Source organism: Homo sapiens, chromosome 1 (assembly GCF_000001405.40).
Source record: "Homo sapiens chromosome 1, GRCh38.p14 Primary Assembly".
Taxonomy (NCBI): domain Eukaryota; kingdom Metazoa; phylum Chordata; class Mammalia; order Primates; family Hominidae; genus Homo; species Homo sapiens.
Window position 1 is genome coordinate 5,702,940 of NC_000001.11, and position 19,483 is coordinate 5,722,422.

Consider the following 19,483-nt stretch of genomic DNA (forward strand, 5'->3'; position numbering starts at 1 on the left):
CGAACTCCCTACCAGAGGTGATCCACCCATCTTGGCCTCCCAAAGTGCTGGGATTACAGGCATGAGCCACCGCGCCCAGCCCATTTTAACCATTTTTAAGTGCACAATTCAGTGGCATTAAGTACATTCACATTTTATGTCACTGTCATCACCACCATCCGTCTTCAGAGCTCTTTTCATCTTGCAAAACAGCAACTGTACTTATAAAAAATAATTCCCATTCCTCCCTCTCCCCAGCCCCTGGCAACCACCATCCTACTTTCTGTCTCTGTGAATTTGACAACCCCCGGGACCTCCTACAAATGGAATCATCCAGTATCCGTCTTTTTGCGACTGGCTTATTTCACTTAGCACGGCATCCTCAAGGTTCAGCCACGCAGGTATGTGAGTTTCCTTCCTATTTAAGGCTGAGTCATATTCCAGTGGTGGACCTGGGTTTGAACTGTCACCCCAAAAGGCAGTCTGGGCTGGGCAGTGGCACTAACCTCTAAGAAGCTGTCCTGTCCCTGGGCATTCCCCTGCATCCTTTGTCCTGAGCCTTCAGGCACCCGTCAGTCCTGCCTCCCTCCAGGGGCAAGAAGGGGCAAAAACTTTGTTCCAAAGCTGTACATATGGGGCCTGGAGGAGGTACCCAAGATTGATAAGGAGGATAAAATTGAAGTCAGTTGGCCAAGAGCGGTGGCTCATGACTGTAGCTCCAGCACTTTGGGAGGCCAAGGCAGGTGGATCACCTGAGGTCAGGAGTTCCAGACCAGCCTGGCCAATATAGTGAAACCCCGTCTCTACTAAAAATACAAAAAGTTAGCCAGGCGTGGTGGCATGTGCCTGTAGTCCCAGCTACTAGGGAGGCTGAGGCAGGAGAATCGCTTGAACCCAGGAGACAGAGGTTGCCGTGAGCTGAGATTGCACCATCGCACTCCAGCCTGGGCGACAAAGGCAAGGCTTTGTTCTCAAATAAAAAATAAAAAAATTAAAATAAAATAAATTGAAGTCGGTTTTAGAAAATGCACGTGGAGGCTGGATGCAGTGGCTCACGCCTGTAATCCTAACACTCTGGGAGGCCGAGGTGGGTGGATCACGAGGTCAGGAGATCGAGACCATCCTGGCTAATATGGTGAAACCCCGTCTCTGCTAAAAATACAAAAAATTAGCCGGGCGTGGTGGCGGGCACCTGTAGTCCCAGCTACTCAGGAGGCTGAGGCAGGAGAATGGCGTGAACCCGGGAGGCGGAGCTTGCAGTGAGCTGAGATCGCGCCGCTGCACTGCAGCCTAGGCAACAGAGCAAGACTCTGTCTCAAAAAAAAAAAAAAAGAGAGAAAGGAAAAAAGAAAATGCACACGGTTATGGGATGCCATGTGCAGGCCAGGCAGAGCTAGGTCTAAGGCCCTCCGGGGACCTGCTGGAGCACAGGTGGCTGGATCCAGAGGGCGGAAAGGAGGCTGCAGAGGGAGGTGGGTGGGGAAGAGAGGACCGGACGCCCAGGCTTGCGTTCCTCTCACCGCCAGGTTTAAGGCGGTACAGCCATGCAAACACCGCTGGGATTGTCCAAGAACTAAGGAGGGGTTAAATATTTTATACAAAAACTCTTTTCATCTAATTTATGTTGTGCTTTTGAAGATGAAGAGGCGGCGGGCTTCGGTTATCAGCAAGAAGAAGGGAGAGAGGGACTACAAACATCTTAGAATAGTGGAAGACGGGAGGAGGCTCTCGCCGTCCTTGAGAATATCAATTCCAAAACGATTCTATTCCACCACATAAAGGAGCCAGGCCTTTCAAAGAAAATCAGCCTTTCATAAAATTTCTTGGAAATCTAGTCAAGAAAGTGTGCGTGTCTCTCTCAGATAACACTGCTGTATTATAGGCATTTAACTAGATCCGCAGGCTATGACAAAATAAAACAGCCATTTAAGTGGAGTGTCTGGAAAGGCAGCCGAGACGGGCTGAGAAAGGTCTTGGGCCTGTGGGCTCCAAGAAAAACAGGATGGGGGTTGCCATGGTGACTGTGTATTGCATTCCACCCCTAAGGACAACCAAAAGTCCCTGCAGGACCCCCAGCATCAGCATCAGCTGGGGTATGGGGTCAATGCAGGTCCCCTGGCCCCATAACAAACCAGCTGAACCCAGTCTCTGGAGGTTGTCCCCAGGAACCTGCATTTTAACAAATTGCTCCGGTGATTCTTAGAACATCACAATGGGGCTCCTGACTCAGTCTCTGCTGGAGGCCAAAGTCGAATGATGCCAGCAGCGACTCTACAGTCTGCAGCAGGTGCACCTGCACGTGCATGGCCCCCGTGTGCCAGCCCTCAGCCTCACCCACCTCGAGGGCTGAAGAAGCCAAGAGGGCAGCTGGAGATTGTCAAGCTGGTTTCTTCTTTAGAAAGAGGCTGTGAGGCCCCTGTATTCCTCCCCTCCAGGGAATGGGTGGAGGCCCTTACTCTCACCTCATGGAAGGGAGAGGAGCTTGAAGGAGCTCCCTGTGGGGGTGGGCAGAGGGACTGTTGTCTGTCCCCAGGAGTGCACAGGACACAGCCTGCAGGGACTCGCTCCCAAAGGCCAGTCTGCACCCAGGCTGTGGCTAGCCCTGGCTCCCAGCGGAAGAAGGAGGAGAGGGCTGAAGGGAGATGCCTCCCCACCAACCACAGGGGCCAATCTGTGGGTCTCCTGGTAAGGATAATGGCCTGGGGTCCCTTTAAAGAGGACCCTCCTGGGAGGAGTAGATGGATCAGAGCCCTCAGCACCTGTGGGAAGTGCATGGCCAGGTGCCCTGGGGCCAGCCAGGAAGCCCCAGCAGTGCAAGGAGAGGGCTGGCCTCCGTCGAGACAGCAGCATTCCAGGGACTGGATAGGAATCATTCTCCAAGAAGCCCCCCAAATTCTTGGTGCCGAATTCCCCTCCCTGTCCCCTTCCTCATACCCTCCCCCTCCAACCTGGAAAGGACCATGCGCCTTGGGACCCAGCAGGAAGTAGAGGTCCAGACCCGTGGGACTAAAGACAGCAGAAGGCCCTCACCCCACTCCCCACTGCAGGCTGCCAGCCTTGACCGGGCCGGGCTGGAGGGCCAGACACACAGGCGTTGAACAAAGATCTGGGTTTTGATGATTTTGCTCAACCAGACACGTTAAAGAAAAGGAAGATGACGTGTAACTAAAAACAATAATAGGACTTTTCCTTTCCTAAGAAGGACCAGAGCTATGACAGGGCCTGGGGGAGACTTTATCCCAGGGTGATCCAGTGACTGCACAGAAGACAGACTGTCCCGTGTGCCTTCTTCATTCACCCGAAGTGCTAAGCAGCCTTGAGGTGAAGAACCATGGACTGTTGGAGTGCGGGGGTCAGAAACCGCTCTCCTGACCCCTGGAAACCTCTTGAAAGCTGAGTTGACCATTTGGGGAACTCAAGCCCCTCACATAACTAAAATAAATCCTTTAAGACAGCCCACTCCAAGGACAGCAATGTGGAACATGGTGCTGTGGTTCCGTGCCTTTTCCTGCCTGTCCCCAACACTGTGCTCCCTGAATCCACTCGGCCTGCCACCCGGAGAGGTGGTCAGACAAGACTGTTGGCAAATGTGGAGACTCCCAATTGCCTGATCAACATCCATTCTTGCTATCTTCCTTAGAACCCAATTTCTAGCTGGACAACAATGTGCTCAATTATTACCACAATTACTTTTGCACCAACCTAATACAAAACTATGTATCCCAGCCTCCTTTACACTAGATGTGATCATGTGATTCCGTTCTAACCAATGAGATATCAGCAAAGTGTTGGATGGTACTTCCAGGAAGTCTCCCTAAGAGGGGACACCTGCTTGGGACATGGATGAGATGGCTGGAGTTCTAGCACCCATCTTGGACCATGAGGATGAGGACAGACTAAGTATTGATCCCTAACAGCTTCCTACAGCCACCCACCTCCAAACTACTGTTACACAAAAAGAGACATGAAGGACCCATCCTGTTTTGACACTGTCACTGGGAAGAGTTCTGTTAAATGCTGCTGAACCTACACTTGGCTGGTGGATGTATGCAATGATCCTCTCACATTCTTCATCCCACTAAATGTGCTGCCAGCTCAGGGTACGGTGGGCACTGCAGCAAAGGTTAGCTCTCCTTGCTGTATGCTTCTGGTGGGAAAAGCATGCTTGGGAGTTTTGACCTTAACTGTCTATACCAAGCCAAGGTGATCCATTGGGTTGACTGGAACCTCCTCCTAATGGGTCTTGGAGGCAGGTGACAGCTGGCATTTGCTGGCTGAAGTGATCAGGTTCCAGGCCAGGCATGAAGCTGGAGCTCTGACTGGACCTGACTCTCCCGGTTGCAAGTTGCTCTTCAGCACAGGCCTGGGAATGGTCCAACGTGCTCTCTGGGGGAGATGAAACACAGCTGGTATTACAGGTCGAAACGTATCCCCCGATCTCCACATGCTGCAGTCTAACCCCCAGGACCTCAGAATGTGATCTTACTTGGAAATGGTGGCATTGTAGATGTAATTAGTTAAGAAGAGTGAGCCCCTAATCCAAAATGACTAGCATCCTTATCAAAAGGGGAAATGTGAATCAGAGACACACACACAGAGGGGACACTGTGGCCATGTAATGATTGGAGTGATGCCGCCACAAACCAAGAACTACCAGCAGCAGGAGAGGGGCCTGGCACAGACACTTCCCTATCACCTTTGGAGGGAACACAGCCCTGCCTGCACCTCAATCTCAGACTCCTGGCCTCCAGAACTGTGAGGTGATCAATTTTGGTTGTGTGACTCACTCAGTTTGCAGTCCTTTGTCACGGCAGCCCGAGCAGGCTGATACAAGCTCCACCCACACCGCCCCACCCTCCAGGAGCGTACATTCTAAGCACCACAGGGAACCAGCTGCCTGGTACTCAGCAAATGGTCCTGAGGAAGAAGGACAGGTGGGTGGGTGGATGGATGGACCAATGTTAATATGAGTGCATAGACGGGTGTGTGGGTAGGCAGATGAATACATGAATGCGGGAATGAATGAATCTGGTGACACACACAGGAACCACCAGATGCCAGAAGGGTTCTGCAAAATGCATCACTCGCCACAAGGACACACATCAATCCAGCATCTGCAACCAGAAGAATGAATGTGTCACGCCCCATGGAGTCCACAGAGATCAATGCAACCTCAATACCAGGAAAAAAACAGGTCATAATTTTCTATAAAACTAGTACACACTGCCCCGATTGATGAATACAGCCATCTGTTTTACTTTTCACACTGTCTATTTGTAATCCTCATGAATAACAAAGGGGTTCCAAAGGAAACCAGAAGTAGGGGTTTGCCGCAGTGGGCAGGGGTGCCTATCTACCAGGGAGATGACGGATGGGCCCTTCCATCAAGGATGACCTCCCGCAGAATCTCTTTGCCAGCTGGGCCAGATGAACAAAGAGGTGGCAGTAACAAGAAGAGAGGCCTGCGCCTAGGTATCGGCCGCCTCCAGAGTTTCAATATGGACCTCCGAAGGAGGCACCTCCACCTCCATGCCAGTGCTGGTCTCCTGACAAGAGAGGGTTCGCCTACTAACTGGCATTAGGTGGAACTGTGGCACAGAGGACACGGCCTTCTGACAAGGTTCAAAGCTGGACGTGAGAGAGAGAGTGGCAGATACACCCTCACTGACGTGAGCCCCTGGCAGGCAAACGTTTTCCAAAGGCTCGGCTTGGGGAAGCTCCCTTCCTATTGGCCTTGGCCCTGAGTCTGAGAGAATGGATGCCCAGTGGCTCAAGAAGGGGCATACAGAGGCAAGGCCTAGGAGGAGAGCAGCCTGCCCTCCCATTTCAGAGCGAGGCCCCTGCGTCTTGCCAGCCCTCCTAAGCCCTGGGTGTGGCGGGATTGAGTGCGAGAGCTGCCAGATGAAACACGTCAGCCCGGCCGGTGTCAGGTACCTCCGAGGCACCAAAAACTTAACTGTACCCGTCCCTAGTGCAGAGACCACTGGGTTTCTCCCCTCCAAAAATAATAACTACTGGAGAGAACCCTATGGGCGATGAGAAATCTCTGGAAGCGGCTGCCAGAAGAAGCCGTCAGTTAATCTTCTCTCCGAAGCTCTGGACTCATCTGGCTGTGCTTCTGGGGCGCTGGTTGCCAGCGCAGCCTCGGCTAATAAGTAATTAGAAGATAATTAGCATTCGTAACATACATTGGGAAACATCTGGACCTACTGACTTATTAAAACCTAAAAACCTCATTCATCAATTGTGTAGTGAGATAGAGAACAGGCTCAGGTTGGGGCAGGTGGGCTTGGTTCAAAGTCAGCCCCCACTCAAATGTGGATTCTGTCCACCCTGGGCAGCCGCCCCACCACACCTCTCCGTGCTTCCTGCCTGCCCCACCATCTCCAAAGAGGAGAGGAAAGCAAAGGGCCCAGCCCTCTCGCACCGGCCAATTTCTCCTGGAAGAAATAGAACAGCCAAGGATATGGATGTGGTGGCAGCTGGGTCCTCACCCCCACCCCCTTCTCTTGCTGCTTCTTGCCCTTCCCAGGTGAGAAACCTGGAGCTCAGAGAGGGAAGGGGCACTGGATATGTCCCCCAGCTGAGATTCACTGCAGCTCAACCTGGAAGGGCCCGTGACTCCCAGCACCTCACCCATCCCACACTCACAGAGAGGGAAGGACCATAAACAAGAGCAAGATCCCTGCAGCCGCTGTCAGCTCCAGAGCTGAAGTTGTGCCTGGATGTAGCAGTGCCCAGGCTGTGTGGTCAGCCCTGGGCTTCTGTCTCTCTGCTGTTTCCCCTCCCACCTCCCATCTTCCCTGTCATCAGTGGGCACAGGATGGGTGGGAGCATGTGTTCTGCAGGAGCTGGACGCGCTCCCCAAGTGCCTTGGTTTCCAGCCAAAACATTAGGATGTGGCTCTACCAGCTAATCATCCTCCCTCAGACAGGAGGACACTGAAATAGAAAACCCGGTGCTCCTGGGAGTGTGGGAAAGCCAGTTAAGGCTGCGGCCATTCTCTCCAGGGAAGCTGGGAAGAGTGAAAATTCTGAGGTGGCCACTTGTGCAGCCATTTCCTGGGGGATGCTTTTGGAGAAATCCAGGACCAAGGCCCCCTCTGTGTCCCCTTTTCAGCCAGAAGGAGAAATACTTCAGAAGATGCAAATAGAGAGGTTCCTGGCCTTTCTGGGTTCCCCCCACTCCTCCCACTTCCTTCCTCTTTCCTTTGGGGCACCTGCTCTGCACAGGGTCCAATTACACAAGGCAGTGGTGCTGTCAGTCATGGCATCTGAACCCTCGGGCCACAATGATTGGTTCTAAGGGTGGGAAAATGATGTGAGCAGAGCCAATGAGAGGCCTGCCCTGGGATTTTTCTTCCTCGAGCCAAGGGAGGAGGTCTTTCTCGTCTCTGGCTGAGAGACTGGAAAGAAGGAGGCCAGTGGCCATTTGCAGCCCTGGAAAGGCAGCCTGCATAAAGGACAAAGCCAATGGGCAGGGAGGTGGGACTGGGAGTGGTGGACGGGGCTGCAGGAGCTGGCAGACAGAAGTCAGGCCCCTGTTCCCTGGGCCAAGCTCCACGTGGATCCTTCTCCAGGTTCAATTTAGGAAGCCAATGGATTTTTTGGTTTTTATGTAAGGCATTTTGAGCTGTGTTCCTACTATTTTGAACCACAGTATTGACTAATGCAAATATACTTGGTTGTTTCTGGGGAAGGGCAGTCACTCAGCTGGAGAGATGAAAAGAAAAGAAAAGAAAAAAGAAAAGAAGAAGGCAGGCAGGCAGGAAGGAAGGAGAAGGAAGGGGAAGGTTGGAAGGAAAGGAAGGGAAGAAAAGGGAAGGAAGGGAAGGAAGGGAAGGAGGGAAGAGGGAAGGAAGGAGGGAAGGAGAAGGAAGTGGAAGGGAGGAAGGAAGGGAGGAAGGAAGAAGGGAGGGAGGGAGGGAAGGAAAAAGATAGAAAGATAGAGAAAGGAAAGAAAGAAAAGGAAGCAGACCTGAAAAAGCCTGAAAGTTCATATGACCAACAAATTAGTAGGGAAAGTTTAGTCTATTTCTCAAAACAAGCCATTATAAGTACTTTTTAAACGCCTATGGCTCCCCTCCTTAGCATAGAGCCCATAAGTATTTTAAGCAGAAACCCTGTGGCTTGGTTGGAGTGTGTAAAGCAGAGGATATAGACAGGTCTCCAGAAAAGATGGAGACTTCAGTGGAGGAGAGAGAAGGTGCTCAGTGCAGAACCTCCAATAACACAAACGTCGGCCCCAGGACTTAGGGAGAAGGGAGAGCTCCTCCACTTTGAGGGCTGACACTGCCTCCACCCCAGGCCTAGAGTCCAGAGACCCTGGGCATGATGAGTCGTCAGACAAGGGACCCACGGTGTCCAAGCCCTGTGGCCCGCCCTTCCCCTTGTAGTTTCCACAACTGCCTGTAAGCGTGGGAATCACCAACCCTACCACAGATGGAGTCTGAAATCACTGCTGGGGAGTGGTGGACCTGGATTCGAACCCAAGCCCACCTGGCTCTCAAACCTGTGATCTTTCTGTGACCTGCTCTGGGTCACAACCCCCAGCCCTGACCTCCCTCATCAGAGTCCCATCCCCTTATTTTCAATCAAAACAGAGTAGGCTGTAGGTCCCTCTCCCAGGGCCCTCACACCATGGCAGTTCATTCAGACTGACAAGAACAATCTTGGAGGGTCTCAGCCAACCCTTTGAGGGAAACTGGCCAGGAGAGAAAACTCAGTCACTTAGGGCCACGAAACTACTAGGCAACCAATTTGCAAAGAACTTGTCCTTAACTTGTGCCACCGGCAAGGTCTGCATGGGCAATTTGGGTCTATCAGCCTTTAAATTATAGATGGCCACATCACTCGTCAGGCCTGCCGCAGAGCCAAGATGGAGAAGCCAGGGGTGACTGACAGCTTCAATAAATGCATTCCTGCCAGGAAAATAGCATTACCACACGGAGGTGCTTTGGAAAGTATTGAACTTCAGGAAGAAATAAAATAAAAGTAAAATGGCTCCGGCACTCCTGGGCGCTCCATCATTATTGCCGGACACAGTGGGGAGAAAAGGAACCCATCATCAGATAAATACCGCACTGTCCCCCACCGGGGAAGGCACCGTCACAGCTCCCGCACAGCCGGTCACCGCACCGTCCCCCGCCGGGGAAGGCACCGTGTCACAGCTCCCGCACAGCCGGTCACCGCACCATCCCCCGCCGGGGAAGGGACTGTCACAGCTCCTGCACAGCCGGTCACCGCACTGTCCCCCGCCGGGGAAGGCACCGTCACAGCTCCCGCACAGCCGGTCACCGCACTGTCCTCCGCCAGGAAAGGCACCATCACAGCTCCTGCACAGCTGGTCACCGCACTGTCCTCCGCCGGGGAAGGCACCGTGTCACAGCTCCCGCACAGCCGGTCCCCGCACTGTCCTCCACCGGGGAAGGCACCGTGTCACAGCTCCCGCACAGCCGGTCACCGCACTGTCCTCCGCCGGGGAAGGCACCGTCACAGCTTCCGCACAGCCGGTCATAAAGCGGGTGTCTGGCACGAGTGGGGAATCATTGTCCAGCAAGGAGAGCCCTCGGGGGGCATGTAGGGCAGCCTTCTCCTTCACAGATGGGGAAACCAAGGCCAAGGCCATGCTGTAGATCAAGGTGATGGACCAGAAGGTGTTCAAATGGGCAAGCAGGCAGCAGCATCCCAGGCAAGTCAGGCACAAGACGGCCCCCTAGGTTCACTCTGAGTGGCGGCACTCAGCGGTGAGAACCCTCCAAGCTGCCAGGCAGCCTGTGTAGGACACTGTCTATGCCCTCAAGGAGTCATAAAGGGCAGGTTAAAACCAGAGCAGTCCCTCGTATCCCCAGCCTGCTTCTTACTTCCTGCTGTGGCTGATGTCCAGAAGCCTCCAGTAACGGGCTTTGACTCTGAAGGCAGTGGTCTGTCCTTCTGGTCTACCTGCTGTCCTCCCCACAGTGTGCCCTTGCCCTTCCTGGCAACTGAGAACTGTCCAGGCCCTCACCCTGCTCCTTGTCTCTGAACCAGGCTGCTGGGAAGACCACAGGGTGAGCTCAGCAAAGGCAGGACATGGTCTCACCCACAGCTCCTTCCCCAGCCCCTACAACAGCACCTGTGATGTAGCGGGTGCAGACTGGGCCAGGGATCCAAGAATAGACCAGACTCAGACAAGAATAAAGGCTGCTTCCCAAATCTTTATCTTTGTGCTGGCTGTACCTTCCCCAGGGACATCCTTGTTGCCCCCCACAAGGAAGACCTAAGATCAGGCAACCGGCCCTCCATGTGATCACCAGGCCAGCACCTGGGGGCCTGGTTCTGTCCCAGACACTGCCATCCTTCACACTCTCGTCCTACCGCACTCCCAGAGGACATGGGCCGCCTGGGAACCCCTCCTATCTGTGTATTTCCTTCTTTGAAAATCAGAATGGAACCAGAGAAGGGCTAAGGCTCAAGAGGGCTGGGGTGACTCCATGCATGTCCCCAGAGTCACATGGGGTGTGACTGGGCAAGTCGCTTTGCTCCTTGAGTCCTGGCTGCAGCTGCACAGTGGAGGTAACAGCCCGACCTTGAAGGAGTCAAGTGTGGGAGGAGGAAGGAAATGTGCTTCTGCGGGGACCCGGAAATCGCCCGCGGGGGGCTTAGCGCTCCGTTACCGCTGAGGGTTGGATTCTGCGGGGACCCGGAAATCGCCCGCGGGGGGCTTAGCGCTCCGTTACCGCTGAGGGTTGGATTCTGCGGGGACCCGGAAATCGCCCGCGGGGGGCTTAGCGCTCCATTATCACTGAGGGCTGGAGCTCCTCCCGGATGGTCTGACACCCCATCCAGACTCCCGGGGATGCCAATCCGAAGCTGCAAGCGTCTGTCTGGTTTAGATTTCTGAAAATGTGCTTTTTGCACTTGGCCTCTCATAACGCTTCCTCCCTTGATTTATCTCCCCACGCTTAACATGCAAGACTCCTCTCCGGCGATGTTTTACAGCTCCCTTTTAGAGTTAAACAACTGAAAGTGATACTTGAGGCCTCAAGAGTGTGGGCCCAGATCAATGCAACAAAGAATTTCTAAGATGAACTGTAGACTTCTTGGGTAGGGAATGTTTCTGAAAAAGCATTTTTAACTCACTTCCCTGACTCTGGGTAGGCCACGGTTCACACCAATCCAACTCATGGTAGCAATATCATGGCTCAATGTCACGGGAAAGCCATGTTAATTTGAGGAACAGACTTGCTCATCTGTCTTAGGTGGGAGGGTGCTGGCCAGCCAGGGGCAGGAGGTGACACAGCGGAGGTGAGAAGTAGGAGCTGGGCTCTAACAGACAAGCATCTCAGGCCTCCGAGAGCCATGTCACTAACCCCACAGCTGTCTGAAGATGGCTGTCCCCCTTCAGTCACATGCACAGTAGCATCTAGAGGCAGCCTAGTGTCTCCAGACACCACCACCCTGGGACTTGGCGGTGGAGCTGACTGACTTTAACCTGCTGGGCTATCCTGGAAGCTCCAGCTCTGGCCTTGGCTCCCTATCTGTCACCTGAGGACTATGGACTAGATCTGCCACCTCCCTCCATCCTCCAATAAGAATTTATCCACAACATTTTCATGGAGACCCTGTGTCCTGAGCAGGGAAAAGACCAGGCCTTTGGTTCTAGGTCTCTATCTAAATGTAGATAATAGTAATATTTATATACAGACACATTTCCAGAGAAGACACACATGCAGCCAATAATTATATGGGAAAAAAAGCTCAACATCACTAATCATTAGAGAAATGCAAATCAAAACACAATGAGATACCATCTCACTCAATGAGATACCAATCAGAATGGCCATTATTAAAAAAGTTAGAAAGCAACAGATGCTGGCAAGGTTGTGGAAAAAAAGGAACACTTTTACACTGTTAGTGAGAGTGTATATTCGTTCAACAATTGTGAACGACAGTGTGGTGATTCCTCAAAGATCTAGAACCAGAAATACCATTTGACACAGCAATCCCATTACTGGATATATACCCAAAGGAATATAAATCATTCTGTTGTAAAGATACATGCACACATATGTTCACTGCAGCACTATTGACAATAGCAAAGTCATGGAATCAACTTAAATGCTCATCAATGATAGACTGGATAAAGAAAATGTGGCACATATACACCATGGAATACTATGCAGCCATAAAAAGGAACAAGATCATGTCCTTTGCAGGGACATGAATGGAGTTGGAAGCCGTTATCCTCAGCAAACTAATGCAGGAACAGAAAACCAAACACCACATATTCTCACTTATAAGTGGGAGCTGATGGATGAGAACACATGGACACATGGAGGGGAACAACACACACTGTTGCCTGTTGGGTTGTGGGGAGGGAAGGCATCAGGAAGAATAGCTAATAGATGTTGGGCTTAATACCTGTGTGATGGGATGATTTGTGCAATAAACCACCATGGCACACATTTACCTATGTAACAAACCAGCACATCATGCACATGTACCCCTGAACTTAAAAGCTGAAAGAAAAGCATTCTAAACTAAGGCATTCAACAAGTTCTCCACACGTGTCAGACATAACATTAACAATGACATGAGCTGGGATGTATTCTCATCCCCACCTTACAGATGGGAAAACCAAGGCACGGATAGGTTAGGTAATATCCCCAAGGTCACACAGACTAAGACTCTCATCCAAGGCTATTGGTCCTCAGAATTAGAGCTTGTACCAGCTATTCTGCACTCAGAACAACAACCAATAGCCTGAATTAGTTTTCTGTTTCTGCTGCAACGAGTTATCATAAACCTAGTGGCTTGAGACAACACATATTTATTCTCTTACATTTCTAGAGATCAGAAGTCTGAAATCAGTGGTATGGAGCTAAAATCAAGACATCAGCAGAGTTAGAGATTCTGGGGGCTCTAGGAGTGGGGAGAATCTGTTCCTGTTTCTTCCAGCTTCTGGAGACCGCCTGCATTCCTTGGCTTGTGGCCACATCACTCCAATCTCTGCTTCCATGATCACTTAGGCAAAGGAGGTGTCTCCTCTATCTGTCCTTTCTTCATCTCTGTCACATGGATCATTGTGATGACATCAGTCCCACCTGGATAGTCCAGGATAATCCCCCATCATGGGATCACATCTGCAAATTCCCTTTTGCCTGATAACATAGCTCTCATAGGTACTAGGGATTAGGATATGGACAGTTTTGGGGGTCATCCCAATAGAAGCATGCCTTGTGCATTCATGGATTACTCCCCATGGGTCTATGGAGGAGAGTTTGTCCCCAGTTTTCCAGCTGGAAAACCAAGGGTCAGCAAGCTTCCTCGGCTGGCCCAACATCTCCCACCTGCTGAGTGCAGCCAGGATTAAAGTCCAGGTCTGGCTGAGTCCTGGGGATCCCAGGAGCCCCTGTTCATCCCCCCTCACTTATCCCCACCCCACTCTTCTCCGGAAGCACACGGCCCCCTGCCTCCTGTGGGATACACTTCGGCCCAGAATTGACTCATCCTCAGAACGCCCTGGCAGAGCCTGCCTTGGGCTGGCCCTGAACTGGAGGGTGGATTTGCAGAAGGTAATATCTCGGGTGCTCTTCCCCAGACAGCCTCTCTGGCCACATGTTTTAAAGGTCCCCAGGATGTGTTTTCCCCAGGTATGGTAAGACACATGTGTAAATGAGCTATTATGTTACCAGTTCCCTAGATACAGAAGGCAGGGCACCCTACACAGGGCCACACGGGGAAGCACCAGGGCTGGTCAGGAGGCAAGTGGGGAGGAAAGGTGGGCAAACCACATTGATTGTGGTTTCTGCAAGAAGGAACGGATTGGCTAGCTTGAATCATTACAGCAGACTCTGGCGTGCCTGTCCCATGCCCGGCCCTGGGATGATTAAGGCAGATAGCCGGTAGCTCAGAGTGTCAGAGCCTAGTAAAGGAGATGCTTGGGGGCTCTGGATTGGTTGGTTTGCACTTGAAAGGCTCTCTCCAGAGCTGTTTGCGATCTCTAGAAGTTGGCTCACCCTGGGAAGGGCAGCTTTTCCAGGGTCAGCATAGTGTCTGAGATATGAAAGCATCAGAATACAGAAACAAAAGACACAGTTAATACACATTTCCTTTGAAATCAGCCCAGGCAGATCCCAGGACCACCGCTGAACTATACAGACGCTTTTGTGCAAAGAAGAAAGTGCCCCTTCCTCAAGGCAGGCACAGGCCTGAGCCAGGCATGAGTCTGGGAGAGCAGATGCAGGCTGGATTTCAGCACCTGCTCAGCTGTTAGGCCAGGTGCCCTTGAGCAGTGCACAACCCACACAACCTTTCTGAGACCCTAGGGGGCCCTGCCTTCCCTCTATGCCAGGGGCCTGATCCAAGCCAGGGCCAGCCCAACCATGTCCCTTGGGGACAAACGGCTCCACAGCTCTGAGGGTGCCCACTGGACCAGAACATCCCGGACTGGCCGGTGTCTTATTGGCTCGTACTCTGTACACAAATCTGAAGCCCCTAAGCGAGGCTAAGTTCTGCTCTAAAACCCCATGGGGGTAAACATCCTGCTCACAAAATAGCAGCAGGATGGAAACCTCCAGAGAGGAGCAAACGGTCTCTCAAGAGAAGTGCGTTCCTGGCTCTGCTCAAAGCCCGGGTCTGCCCCTCCCCAGCACTGCAGGGCCAGGGCTCCCATGGGGGACCCCGCTTTGAGCCTTCTTTCCCTAGTCAAGGGGGAGACTTCCTTGGAGAAACAGCAGCCCTCCTTGGACAGTAGAGAATAAACCTTCCTCCCTTCTGGAAAGAGGAGAATAAACCTTTTTCCCTTGGATTTTCCTCTGGAAAGATCAGGATGAATATTCTGTGAGCATGGCCGCTGGGTTGTGGCCGAGTCGTCAGGGTGCAGACCCTGCTATTGAGGAAGTTTGGGTTTGGTTTATTTCCCCAGCAAAGAATGAAGTGAAGCAATGTCCTAACCTCGGGGTGTGACGTGCTCTGTGGTGGGCAATTTCAAAGCGGAAAGGTCAGCTAAAAGGAGAATCACAGAAAAGCAACGCCAGGAGGCGGCTCGGGCAGCATTCCCTGAATTCCAAGGAGGCCAGGAGCAGGAGCAGGTCATCTTCGATGGGGATGTGGAAATGTGCCTCCAGCCGTATTTTAGTTCTGGAAGTCATATTCATCAGTGCCAACCTCTTAGGGTCCAGTCAAGGGGGCCTCTCTCTACCCACCCAACGCCAGCCTTCGGAAGACCCAGGCGCAATGGCCCTGACTCCAAAGCTTCTCACTTCCTGCAGCCACGATGATTCCCAATGCTGGCCCCGGGTGCCACATCTGGAGACAGGATCACAGCTGGCAAAGAGGACAGGCCCAGCCCCGGGAGGACCTGGGACCTCACCTTTCAATGTAGGAGACACTGCCGGCAGCTCTCCTTCCAGAAGGGGCGAGCACCCCCTGGCCAGAGTCCCAGCCCAGGTCCAGTGTGAATGTCTTAAAAACAGTCCCCCACACCTGTAGTCCCAGCACTTTGGGAGGCCGAGGCAGGTGGATCACAAGGTCAGGAGTTCGCGACCAGCCTGGCCAATATGGTGAAACCCTGTCTCTAATAAAAATACAAAAATTAGCCGGGTGTGGTGGCGCTCTCCTGTGCTATCAGCTACTCGGGAGGCTGAAGCAGGAGAATCACTTGAACCCAGAAGGTGGAGGTTGCAGTGAGCCAAGATCCTGCCACTGAACTCCAGCCTGGGTGACAAAGTGAGACTCCGACTCAAAAAAAAAAAAAAAACAGTCCCCACACCAAAGCCCAGCAGTGTCTGTAATAAACTATGGTTTCAAATACACATTCAGAAGAAGTAAAGAGGTAGCGGCAGGAGCTGATTAGGAAACTCAGCTTTGAACAGAACCAGAGAAGTCCCCTAGTCCCACAACCCATTTCTGTGATGGGGAGAGGCACAGACAAGAAACAGTTCTCTCCATGGTCACCATGGTGACAGGGGGACGCAGGGCTGGGACCGCCGCCCTGTCCTGCCCCTAGTCCTGACGTGTGACTCCCAGAAGGACCCGCCACCACTGCGTGAACACACATCCATCTCCGAAACTGCTGGGTTCCCAGAGCCGGCAGAGCGGCCGGCCTTTCAAACCCTGTGTTTTAAATTGCCCAATTAGCCAACCAGAATTGCCCTGGTGACACACACTGTCCCCAGCCTCCTTGGCCAAGAAATAATTCTGCGATCGTTAATACTGACTCTGCTTCTGCCGCCCGCCTCGCCCAGAGACTGACCAATCGCTCCCAGGAGGCTGACCGGCCCCTCAAGTGGAAGGAAAACTAAGGGCAGAGTCAGAGGTCGCCTCTGTGCCGCAGCGGTCCCTGAGGAGCCGGGTGCATGGGTGGGAGTGAGCGTGTGGAGAAGCCAGGCCATTGGGAAGACAAAGGGGCCATTGGAGCCCCCGCTGCTGCCACAAGACACCGCCTCCGCATCCATGGAATCTTCCACTGGGCGCCGCTGCCGCTCCTGCCACGGTGGCTACTGTCACCACCAGGGCACAAACCAAAGCCAATACAGGTTCAAAAAAGAACAACACATAAGCACATCAGCCTCGGAGCCCCAGCTCTAGAAGGAGACAGGCACAATCGGACCCCACCTGTGGCTTCATGGTCCCCAAAGCCTGGGCTATGCTCAGGGCTGGAGGAGGAGCGAGACCTAGACCCCAAAGACAGCTCAATGCTCCGGGGATGCTCCGAACTAAGAGAGGCAGAAATATGCCTGGAAAGGCAGCTGTTTCATTTGGGGCATTAAAAACGCCTTTGGTTGGTAGGTGGAAGGCCGACTTCTTGGTCAGGGGTTTCAGGAGGATGAGAGGTAAATAGGAGACACTCAACGAGCTTCAGGGGAAGTGTCGGCTAGGCAGTGGGCAGGAGGAAGCCTCCCTAAAAATCCACCAGGTGCTGGTCCCCGGAAAGGCATCTTTCTTGGATTATCTCACAAGGATCCTAAGAAATAGGTGCAACTCTTCCCACTTTAAAGAGATCAAACGGAGGTCCACAAAGGCTAGGAGCAGTGCCCAGGGTTGGCCAAGATGCAATCCCAGATCTGTCTCCCTCAGAAACCCAAAAAGAGGCAGCAGTGGTGTTGCTTCTGGCAATGACCTCAAGTGGTCTCACAACCTTCTCTACACTTGGCCTGGGGTCAGAGCCCAGCCCCCCGACTTGTTTGTTCCCAGACTCCCCTAGCACATCCTCTCTCTCCGTTCCCTGAGGTAGGAGCCCTCCTTCCCCTGATGCCATGGAGGTGCAGGCCCCACATCTCTGTCAGTTCACGGGCCAAACCCCTGCTCCCCAGGGACCCTACGTGACTGAGTTCCCACTGCAGGGGGACCACAAAGTCAGTAGGAGGCATGGCTGCTCCGGGAGATGGGGCCACAGCTGGAGGGTGTCCCACGCTCCTGAACCCATGATGATTTCACACAACCCGGAGATGAAACAGGCTCAGTCTGCAGCCTAAAGAGCTCCAGCCCCCGATCCCAATGGGAACAGGGGAGAGGTGGCTTCTCATGGCAGAAGAGACATTCATCAGCACCTCCTCCAGGAAGCCTCCCCTGACTTCCCTCCACCAAGAGATTCAGCCCGTCTCAGTGCTCTCACAGCACCTGGGCTCATCACAGTCCAAGCCCTTGACACAGCGGAAGGTATGTCAAGATAAAATGGACCGCCTTAATCCCATTTGAAGCAAGACAGCTGCAAAAGCTAACATCACCCTGAATCGTAATTGTCTATTCACTTGTCTCCCCACAGGCAGAGACAGCGTGTTTGTCTTTGCATGCACAGAACTTGGCGAGGTGCCTGCCCGTCGTTAGTACTGAAATAATAAATGTTGCAGATCTAATAATAACAATAATAATATCTAACATAGATGTGGGCACTGGGCCAGCTCTGTGCAGACAACACCTCTCCTGCCCTAGCCCAGTCCTCCCAAAGGGCCCCTGTGACTGCCAGTTCTATACCCACACTGTATGTGATGATGCACCATTTAGAGGGGTGAAAACTCTTGTCCAAAGTCACCTAGCTACTCAGGGTCAGAGGCTGTTGGATCCCAACACCCAACACCACAACACTTCAGTGACAGCGCAGCCCAGGATAGGAGCACTGGAAGAAAAGGGGATTTCAGTGGTACAACATTGAAAGATGGTGGACAGAGCCTGGGGTCAGGAGGCCTGAAAACCGGCCTGACTAGAGAGAAGTCACATCCTCACTCCGCCCCAGGATCTGAGCTCACCATCCATCAAAGGGTAGAACATGAGCAGACATGATGAGAATCACAAGATTCTCTTTGGAAGCCCCGGAAACTCTCCCAAGCTTGGGAAGGAGGAGGTAGGGGCCAAGGGCTCAGCTCAGTGGCCAGAGGACACAGTGAAAATGTGGCAATGTTCCTTTCAAATCTAGGAACCCCAAAGGTGGGAGGAGGTAGAGGGTCATGAAAAATCACACACAGGGGTTCTCTGAAGGTGAGAACAAGCCCATCAGCCTTTCCCCACCCGTCCCCTCCCAATCTGCATCTGTGCCTTGCCCTGGCAGGCACCCAGAGTTGTCTGACTGCGGTGTCAACAAATTGCTCCTGGCCTGTGGCTTGTGTAGATGAACTGATTAAGTCTCATTAGGTGTTTTTAAACAATTAATACCTGCAAGACCACAGGAAATCATGATAATTAAGTCTAAATTAAATGCCGCTTTGAAATTTCACTTCCAGGACTAAACTAGCTATAGTCAATTCTACCAGATTGGACTGAACTGGTATTTAAATCTGAATTGTACCCAGGGATGGGGTCTGAAAACTCAGGTGGGTGGGGTGTGGAGAATGACCCACAGGTTCAGAAGCACAGTGGGGTGTGTCTGTCTGGGGGACTTGGGTCTTTCTTGGTTGGTGGTACTGCCTTGGGTGCTCACTGCATCTTCCGGCTGCTTTGTTCTCGCCCCTGCCTTTTGATAAGTGTTCTCTGATTTCTCCTGGGAATGCCCCTCGCCACCACTAGACATTTAGTTTGGGTGGTGTCCTCTCCCACCTTGATCCCAAGAAGGGACATGTGATTCAAAACTGACCAATCAGAGCACTGCATTTCTCTGGCCATAGTGATTGGTCCAGCAATGGGCATGTGATCCAAGCTGAGCAAATAAATGCCATGGGACTTTTGCAGGGGCTGCTGGGAGAGAGGCTTGGAGGAAAGTGTTGCCAGAACTGAGGCAGCATATTGCCACCATGAAGGCACAGCCCATAAGAAAACCAGGCCAATACAAAGGAGCAGAGATGAAGCATGAAAAAGAGAAAGTGGGCCTGGAGGACACTGTCTGAACCCCCGGATGAAGGGACTAGCGGCAAAGATGTGTCTCATGTATACATGTTTTTTAAATAGAGATGAGGTCTCACTATGTTGCCCAGGCTGGTCACACACTCCTGAGCTGAAGTGATCCTCCCGCCCCAGCCTCCCAGAGTGCTGTGATTTACTGATGTGAGCCACTGTGCCTAGCCTGTATCATATACATATATATATATATA

At 52.5% G+C, this 19,483-nt stretch overlaps 1 long non-coding RNA gene across 2 annotated transcripts, besides 1 other annotated feature; it reads right to left on the reverse strand.

The window, feature by feature from the left end:
* Nucleotides 1-1,371: 1,371 nt before the first annotated feature.
* LOC124903830 (uncharacterized) lies at nucleotides 1,372-11,019 on the reverse strand. Of its 2 annotated transcripts, XR_007065441.1 has the most exons (3): nucleotides 9,058-11,019; nucleotides 5,937-6,127; nucleotides 1,372-4,365 (listed from the first exon to the last, which is right to left on the reverse strand). It is a non-coding gene; the product is annotated as an uncharacterized LOC124903830 (long non-coding RNA). The 2 variants fall into 2 exon arrangements; XR_007065440.1 differs by lacking the exon at nucleotides 1,372-4,365 and having other exon boundaries at nucleotides 5,232-6,127.
* Nucleotides 15,899-16,860: an enhancer, noted in NCBI's record as "H3K27ac-H3K4me1 hESC enhancer chr1:5778898-5779859 (GRCh37/hg19 assembly coordinates)". NCBI's record gives its function as "activates a minimal SCP1, AML or CMV promoter by ChIP-STARR-seq in naive H9 embryonic stem cells {active_cell/tissue: H9 hESC(naive)}" and the evidence as "EXISTENCE:reporter gene assay evidence [ECO:0000049][PMID:30033119]".